Source organism: Homo sapiens, chromosome 3 (assembly GCF_000001405.40).
Source record: "Homo sapiens chromosome 3, GRCh38.p14 Primary Assembly".
Classification (NCBI taxonomy): Eukaryota; Metazoa; Chordata; class Mammalia; order Primates; family Hominidae; genus Homo; species Homo sapiens.
In genome coordinates this window covers 42,722,659-42,731,514 of record NC_000003.12, presented here as the reverse complement: position 1 = coordinate 42,731,514, position 8,856 = coordinate 42,722,659, and the positions used below count along the sequence as shown (strand labels likewise).

At 42.8% G+C, this 8,856-nt stretch overlaps 1 protein-coding gene across 6 annotated transcripts in view, besides 1 other annotated feature; it reads left to right on the top strand.

Annotated features, from left to right (window-relative positions):
• The window catches only part of CCDC13 (coiled-coil domain containing 13), a 69,136-nt gene that overhangs the window by 41,739 nt on the left and 18,541 nt on the right, over positions 1-8,856 (top strand). For 4 of the 6 annotated variants that reach the window (XR_940385.1, NM_144719.4, XM_017005781.2 and 1 more), the window contains one exon: positions 926-1,048. The exons of the other annotated variants lie outside the window; for them this stretch is intronic. Coding sequence is in view for 3 of the 4 variants with exons in the window: in NM_144719.4 (NP_653320.3) it covers positions 926-1,048 (123 nt within the window). In the remaining variant the exon portion in view is untranslated. The remainder of the gene's footprint in view (positions 1-925; positions 1,049-8,856) is intronic. 6 annotated transcript variants of the gene reach the window in all.
• Positions 571-1,070: an enhancer, noted in NCBI's record as "H3K4me1 hESC enhancer chr3:42771937-42772436 (GRCh37/hg19 assembly coordinates)". NCBI's record gives its function as "activates a minimal SCP1, AML or CMV promoter by ChIP-STARR-seq in primed H9 embryonic stem cells {active_cell/tissue: H9 hESC(primed)}" and the evidence as "EXISTENCE:reporter gene assay evidence [ECO:0000049][PMID:30033119]".

The following is an 8,856-nucleotide window of genomic DNA, read 5'->3' as shown; positions in this document are numbered from 1 at the left end:
AGCTGCTAGGAGATGCCAGAGCCACCGATTCAGAGACCACTTGTAGTAGCAAGGCCTTAGAGCATATTTAGGAGTCACAGAGGGGTCTGCAGTTCTCGGAGCCCATCTAAACCACCCCTCTCAATGTTTAGTGGGGGAACTGGGGCCAAGAGAGAGGAAGAGACCTGCCCAAGACCACCGAGAAGTCAGCCCTCAGGATCACATGCCCCAGCCCAGTTTTCAGTACACTGCCCAGCTCTGCAGCCTTCCCTATGCCCTGTACTGCTAGAAAAGTAAGCTCAGGGTCTCACTGGGAAAAGTGGGGGCACAGCGGAGAGCAGCTTGGAACTCACATGTGGGCTCTGGGGGGTTGAAGTTGGGGGGCAGAGTTTACCTTCTGTCCTGGCTCCAGCCAGCAGGTAAGAGGGAAGCAGTGATGGGTTGGCTTAGGGCTGGAGAAAATTGAACAAGTCACAAAGCCAAATGCACAGGCTCCAGGAAAGTGGGCTGGGCTTGGGGACCAAGCCAGAAGATGCAGGAGGGCTGGGAGAGACTGGCAGGGACACAGAGACTGGGCACACCTGACACTGGGTAGGGCAGCCAGGCCCCAAAGGCCACACAGATACCCAGGGCACCCCAGGTCCCCAAGAGCCACCTGCCACAGCACCAGACTAATTCCAGGCCCCCACAGGGCTTGGATGGACAGAGGTACCAGTGTAACTCTAGTTCTGGTAGGTTCAGCTTTGGAGCCTAGGGACTTCAGCAGGACCAGGAATGGTGGGCAAAGAAGCCAGCAGGGGAGGACCTAGAGGGACTGGGTTTGCTTCCTTTGCTCTGGCTGACATTCGCCCTGAATGTCCTTCTAGTCCCTCCAACCATCACAGGGGTAAGTGTTATTTCTAGGCCTCGGATGACCTCTGCCCTCTGCCCTCCACCCTGGTCCCAGGTTCTCGGACTCCCCAGAACAAAAAGGCTGGCAGGCACAAGTGTCAGAGATCAAGGCCCTCTGGCAGGCTGCCGAGGTGGAGCGTGACCGGCTCACCGAGTTTGTCACTGTCCTGCAGAAACGGTAACACATGGCACCCAGGGATCTCTCCCATAGGCCTGCATGTGGTGGGGACTGGGGCCAGGCCTCATTTATGACTGGGTCCTCCTCACCTGAGAGCTCGGCTCCCAGTGTTGGTCCAGGGCATTCCTAGCCACAACTCATGCGCCCCACAACCTTGGGGCCTTGTCGTCACACTGTGTTTTGCCCTTAGGAACAGCCCCATTCTACATGCACCCAATGGGACTGTTGTATGGCATGTGGACATTGCTGGGAGTCTCGGGGGAGAGACACCCAGAAGTAAATCAGTCAAATCAATCCATCAATAATTAAAATCTGTGATGAGCCTGGCACTGTGCTTGGTGCTGCTGGAGGGTTTGGTGGGAAGAAAACACAAGCTAGACTGACATCTGGAATTGGAAAGAACAAGAGAGGTGCTGATAGCTGGGGAGGCAGGGAGGGAAGCACGAGGCCTGAGGCACTGGACCAGGAGGTATGGTTTTCTCTAAAGGGTTGTTGACAGACTTCCGTTCAGATAAATCAGTGCTCCTCGCTCAAATGATCCTTTTGGCAAGAATTGCAGGTGTCCAGGCCAACACATGGCTCAACCATGTGACCTCCACACTGAAAAATATTAAGCACACCACTGAGTTTCTGCCCTAACAGGCTATATCATGTATCAGTCAAGGCTCTTTGATGACAGACAATAGAAAGCAATTCTGGCTGAATTCAGTGAAAGGCAGATTTTTGGAAGGTACTGGCAGACTCCAATGCAGAGAGCAGGAGAGGAGCCTGAGAAGGTGCAGGCATCTTTGGTAGCAGGAAACCCTAGGCAGTTCCCTGGGCCACTGAAATGGCATGGCCAAATGGCTTTTAGCTCTTGTGCCCATGGGTTCTGGGAGAGAAGGTTGAACTGGCCAGTGCTGCGCCCGTATCCACCCCACATGTGAGGGCACTCTGACTGAAGTTCCTCCGGGTGCTCACAGAATGCAGGAAAGGTAGTTTGCCAAAGGGAAAATGGGGGTACTGATAGCAAAAGAAGGAGCTAGGGGTGCAGGGAAGGACAAAACAAAGGATGCCTGCTACCTAAATAGTGAGTGGTCAGCTTTGCTTTCACATAGTACATAGAGATGATGTGAATTTCAGACATACTCAAGTATATGAGAAAAGCAACATTGATTCTTTTTCTATAATTGGAATGTAATGGATAGTACAAGTCTTTAGTCTATCAAGTAGTAGAAACATACTCAATGCAGGCTTTCTCTCTCATTTCTCTTGAGTTACATCCGAGTTTGGGGGTGTGTGAAAAAGGTGACTCAGTTAGCTATTGCTGCATAACAAACCATCCCAAACCTAGTGGCTTCAAACACAATGGTTTGTGCTTTCTCACGATTCTGTGGCTTGGCTGGGTAATTCTACCCCACATAATGTCAGCTGGGGTCACTCACTGGTCTCATGCAGCTGGCACTTCAGCAGGGATGCCTCAGTTCTCCTTCATGTGGCTTCTGTCTCCATGTGAGATCTCATTTTCAGGGCCTCTCCACACAGGGCTAGGATTGGGTGAGGCAAGCAGGGCACCTGGGGTATGAAATGTAAAGAGGTGCTCACACCCAGTCACATACATGCAACTCTCTGTCTGCGAATATGCTGGCCCTTTTTGGGTCCTTGGGTTCCTCCTGCTACTCTGTGTCATCCTGGGGTGTTGGGGCTCTGTGAGGCTGTGCCAGGCCCATCAACCAACACCTGTTGCCTTTTTTCCTTGAGGTTATTGCTAAGTCCCTGGGCTGTAACAAGAAAAGGGAACCCAGGTACCTTCTGCACTCAAATTCCCTCAAATCTATTTGGTTTAAAACTAAATGTTTTAAACTAAAACCATTTTGTTATAACTAAATTGGCCAATCATCAAAAATGATGATTCCTTTCAAAACTGATGATTGGCCAATTAAACCAAAGGAACTATTTTAAAGTAAAACTAAACGTTTTAACTAATGTTTTAACTATCCCAAAGTACAGGACCTTCGTTTCTCAGAGATCCTCAATATCTACTCCTTTCTTTATCTGCAGAGTCTGTCCCAGCCTTGCACAGGGGAGGGTGGGGGGGAGTCTTTCTCTGCCTAGCTTCCCTTCTCCTCTACTCTGCCCTACAATTTCCAGCTGCCTCAGTTGCCCTCCCCCACCCAGTTCCCTAATCCTGTGTGCTCATCCCAGCATCCCAGGGTGCTCTGCGTGGCTGCCCCCACCCCACCCTGCAGTGGAAAGTGCCTCAGGCAGAAAGCCAAGGCCAAGGGCGAGCCAAGCTCAAGTCCTTCCTTTCCTCAAGTCTTGTATCCAGTGTGTGTCGTCCTGTTGTCCATTGTCTGAAAACAAGTTCTTTCTTACATTTTATCAATTTTTCTAGTTACTTACAATAGGAGTTGGTTAGTCCACCATGACAAAAGTCACTAAATATGTCTCTTTTTTAAAAAGCACGTAGTCGGCTTTGTTCTTAAATTTAATCTGGGAATTTCTGTGTTTGAACAGTATCGTTTAATCCACTTTGATTTTGGTAATATTTAATCACTTTAATTAATATTTTCTATTTGCCATGATTTTTCTTTGTTCCTTTTTTTCTCCTTTCTTCCCTTATATTGGACTGATCAAGTTTTATTTCTCTTACTTCTTTGCAAGTTTGGAAGTTAGATATTCTATCTCTGTTCTTTTAGTGGTCACCCTTAACTTTTAACATCAAACTCAGCAATCTAAAGTTAGTTGGTTTTGCTACTATCACTTTAAGCAAAAGAATACATTTAGAATGTTTTAACTTTGATTTCTCCGTTTGTGCCTTTCATGTTACTGTTTCCTAATATTTCTCTTCCACATTCTTTTTTTAAACCCTGAAATTAAACCCTCCAAAGTAAGTCTTGAATACTGAATAGTGAATATTCGTTTCCTTTTGCCAACATGTTTGAAAATGTCTTCACTCACTGTTACTTCTTGTATCTCAATCTTCCTTCTAGGTTCACTTTCCTTCTTACTGAGATGCCCTTTAGTTCAGTGAGGCCATGTAAATAGTAAACTCTCTGAGTATTTGTTTATTTTTATTTTATTTATTTATTTATTTATTTTTCTTTTCTTTTTTTGAGACCGAGTCTCTCTCTGTCACCCAGGCTGGCGTGCAGTGGCATGATCTCAGCTTACTGCAACCTCCGCCTCCCAGGTTCAAGTGGTTCTAGTGCCTCAGCCTCCCGAGTAGCTGGGACTACAGGTGTGAGCCACTACGCCCAGCTAATTTTTGTATTTTTAGTAGAGATGGGGTTTCACCATGTTGGCCAGGCTGATTTCGAACTCCTGACCTCAGGTGATCTGCCTGCCTCAGCCTCCCAAAGTGCTGGGAGTAAGGGCATGAGCCACCACGCCTGGCCTGTTTATTTTTAAATGTCTTTATTTTGCCTGTCTTGAATGAGAATTTAAGAGAAATTTGGGCATAGAATTCTAAATAGATGGGTATTTTTTTCTCAGCACTTTCAGGCTATCCTATTGTTTTTTATCATCTACTATTGCTAAAAAGAAATCTGCTATCAGTTTTATTGTCATTCCTTAATAGATTTGTCCTTTCTCTCCGATGCTTCTTCAGATTATTCTCTTTGTCTTTGAAGCTTTGAAATTTCACTGTGATACGTATATACATATACGTATACACACACACATATGTATATATGTAATATGCCCATATATGTATATATGTATATATGTGTGACTTTACATATATGTAAATATATATTTTATATATACATGTAAATATGTGTGTATATTTGTATGTATGTATATGTAAAGTATACATATGTAAATATATGTAAATATGTTATACGTAATTTTATCTACTCAGAAGTTAGTGTTCTTTTTCAATCCAAGGACTTTATATATTCCCAAGGACTGCTGTCCATATATTGCCTCTTCCTCACTCTCCCTATTCTTTTAATCTAAAATTCCTAGTCCATATATGTTAGACTTATTCTTTCCTCCACATCTCTTTACCCTTACTATTTTGGGCTGAATTCTGGGTGATTTCTTCAAATCAGCTTTCTAGATCACTAAATATCTTCAGTTGTGCTTCATCTACCATGAAACCTATTTTGATAACTGTATTTTTCGGTAAAAGCTCCTGTTCTCAGCCAGGCACAGTGGCTCATGCCTGTAATCCCAGCACTTTGGGAGGCCGAGGTGGGTGAATCACCTGAGGTCAGGAATTCAAGACCACCCTGGCCAACGTGGTGAAACCCCATCTCTACTAAGAATCCAAAAATTAGCCAGGTGTGGTGGCAGGCACCTGTAATCCCAGCAACTTGGGAGGCTGAAGCAGAATTGCTTGAACCTGGGAGGCGGAGGTTGCAGTGAGCCAAGATCACGCCACTCCACTCCAGCCTGGGCAAAAAGAGCAAAACACCCCCGTCTCAAAAACAAAACAACAACAACAAAACCCTCTTGTTCTCTTTCTTATAGCATTTGTTCTTTCATTACAATTTTTGCCTTTCTCCTTTAAATAATTTTGAACTTATTCCCTTTAGAGTTTTCTACCATCTTCATTAATTAGGATCCTAAGTAATGTCTGTCGGCTCTCCCCTTGTAGTAAATTATTTCCTTGTGTGGTTTCAATTTTTGTGATTTTATGAGCTTATCTTCAGTGGGGCTTTTTTCCTTGTAGGAGTTCTTAGGTGATGACCGTGTTTCTGTGGAGGTGTTCTGCATTTGTCTCTGTGAAGCTTTTAGGGTTTCAGTGGTCTCTGATTGGTACTTTATGTGAATTTATTGGCTTAGATTCCCTGAACACATGAATGCTGCCCTTGTGTTTCAGTTTCACATGATTGGTGCTTCCTCCCCTCCTCCCCATTTCCCAAGGCCCTGATAGACTGCAGGCTTCCTTACTACTTTCCTGAACTTGTAGATGGATATTATCTTAGTCCTCTTTTTTTTTTTTTTTGAGACAGGGTCTCACTCTGTCACCCAGGCTGGAGTGCAGTGGTGTGATCACAGCTCACTGCAGCCTCAACTTCCCGGGCTCCAGTGATCCTCCCACCTCAGCCTCTGGAGTAGCTGGGACCACAGGCACATGCCAACATGCCTGGCTAATTTTTATATTTTTATAGACTTACATTAAATGCATCTTTACATTTTTATGGGAGTATATCTGTATCACAAATTCCTAAAAAAGAAATGGCTGAATCAAAGAATATGCACATTTAAAATGTTCACAAATCATGACAAATTGCCTTTTAAAATGAATCAATTTACATTCTTACCAATAATGTGAACTGTTTTCCCCATACCCTCACAGTTACTATGTTTTATTAATCTTTAACATTTTTGCCAAACTAACAAGGAAATGCTAATATCTCCTTGTTTTTATCTGCTTTGCTATGACCAAAAGTGAGGATAAGTATATTTTCCACATAACTTTTATGTTTTTTTCTTTTAACTACCTATTCATGCCATTGCACATGTTTTAGAGTTGTTTATATTTTTATTTGACTTATAAAAGAACACTTTATGTATCATATATATGGTATTATGTATATAATGTGTAATATTATGTATGTTTGTCTTCATGAAGATTTTGTGTCATTATGCTAAATTCATTCTTAGCATTCTTAGGTAGGGGGAAACCTCCTTATCTGAGTATTTTTTACCAGCACCCCCACAGTTACAGTCCCCATGAAAGCAAAATTTTTAATATTAAAACAGTCATCATTTGACTATTTAATATTCTTCACTTCACATTGGCATTGGGTCACTTTGGTCAGACTCTTGAAATACAATGAAAATCAATTATGAAGCAAAAAGGTAAATCTTTCAAAATATTTGGAATTTCATGAGATTGATGAACATGAGTTTGGAGAACTATTAGAATCGCAATCAAATACATTGACAAATTAGGATCTAGCTGAGTTAGGCCTGTTAACAACTGAAGAAAATCAGTGAGACCAGAGATTGGTCAAAAGAGAATAATCAGAATACCAAAGTGTGCAAGAGGTCTTGAAGCTTACGGACATCTGTAGATCCCAGGCAGGAGGAGCAGCCTCAGGTCTGGAGAGGGGGCGAGGACAGAGAAAGAGCTGGTTTTGGTGCATATTTGCAGGAAAAGTTGTAGAGCCTGCTGATAGATTGGAAGCTGAAGATGAGGAAGAAAGAGAAGGCAAGGGTGACCCCCGGGTATCTGGGCTGAGCAACTGCATGAGTGAGGATAATATTTATTGAGATGTGGAAGGCACGTTATAGGGGAGAAGGAGAGAAATCAAGAGTTTGCTTATTCCTAAAATTTTGTGGGAATTCACAATGTGGTTTGCTATTTTATATGATGTTTTGCTGTTGGTTTATTATTTCCCCTATTATAAATGGAGTTAAACAAAATGCATACATTATTGAAATTCATAACAGAAAAGTGAAAGCCCCTCCCCCACAGTTGAGTCAATAGCTGCCACATATTCCTTTTTGTTTTCAGTCAAGTGGCTGAATTATATTAACCTTATATTTATTTGTTTTTAAATTTTTAATTTGTTGTAAATTTTTTAATTAGATCATATAGTATGCATAATCTTCTGCTACTTATTTTACTTAGTATATTGCATTTTCATGTCAGTACGTTTTCCTTTTATGGTTACAGAATATTTTATTGTATAAATCCACTGTTATTTATTTACCATTCTTCTATTGATGGGTTATTAGTTTCTGATTTTAAAATACTTTATTGTGTTGTTTCCTTCTATTCTCATTTTACTTTGAGTTTTTAAAGTCAGGAATAGCTACTGATTTTACCAGTGCTTCTTCAGTATCTATTGGAAGGATTACCTGATTTTTTCCTTTAACCTAATTCCGATGTTGAATCTTACAGCTCTAGTGTTCTTGGAACTATGTTGTGTTACTCTCTTACAATGCCATTGAATTTAATGTTCTTTCTTTTTTCCTCTATTTTTACTGTGGTAGGCAGAATTCTAACATTCCCACCCCCGATATACATGCCTTATAAACTTCTCTTCCCTTGAGCGTGGGCAGAACCTGTGAATATGGTAGGATATTATTGCCACAATTATGTTAACTTACATGGCCAAGGGGATTTTGCAGAGCTATTTAAGGTTACTCATCAGATGACTTTGTGTTAATCAAACAGGAGGCTCTCTGAGTGGGCCTGACCTAATCATATGAGTCCTTTTAGTCTGAGTCTAGCTGTCAGAGACAGAGGAAGCCAGAGTGGAAGCAGTATTTTCTTGCTGGCCTTGAAGACATTCTCCTGCAAACTGTTACAGGAAAGGGAGTTTTGATCCAGACCCCAAGAGAGGGTTCTTGGATCTCCTGCAAGAAAGAATTCAGGCGGAGTCCACAGTGCAAAGTAAACGCAAGTTTATTAAGAAAGTAAAGGAATAGGCCAGGTGCGGTGGCTCACGCCTGTAATCCCAGCACTTTGGGAGGCCGAGATGGGCAGGTCACGAGGTCAGGAGATCGAGACCATCCTGGCTAACAGGGTGAAACCCCGTCTCTACTAAAAATACAAGAAAATTAGCTGGGCGTAGTGGTGGGCACCTGTAGTCCCAGCTACACGGGAGGCTGAGGCAGGAGAATGGCGTGAACCTGGGAGGCGGAGCTTGCAATGAGCCGAGATAGTGCCACTGCACTCCAGCCTGGGTGACTGAGCGAGACTCGTCTCCAAAAAAAAAAAAAAAAAAAAAAAGTAAAGGAATAAAAGAATGGCTACTCCACAGGCACAGCAGTCCCCAGGGCTGCTGGTTGTCCATTTTTATGGTTATTTCTTGATGATATGCTAAACAAGAGGTGGATTATTCATGCCTCCCCTTTCTAGGCCA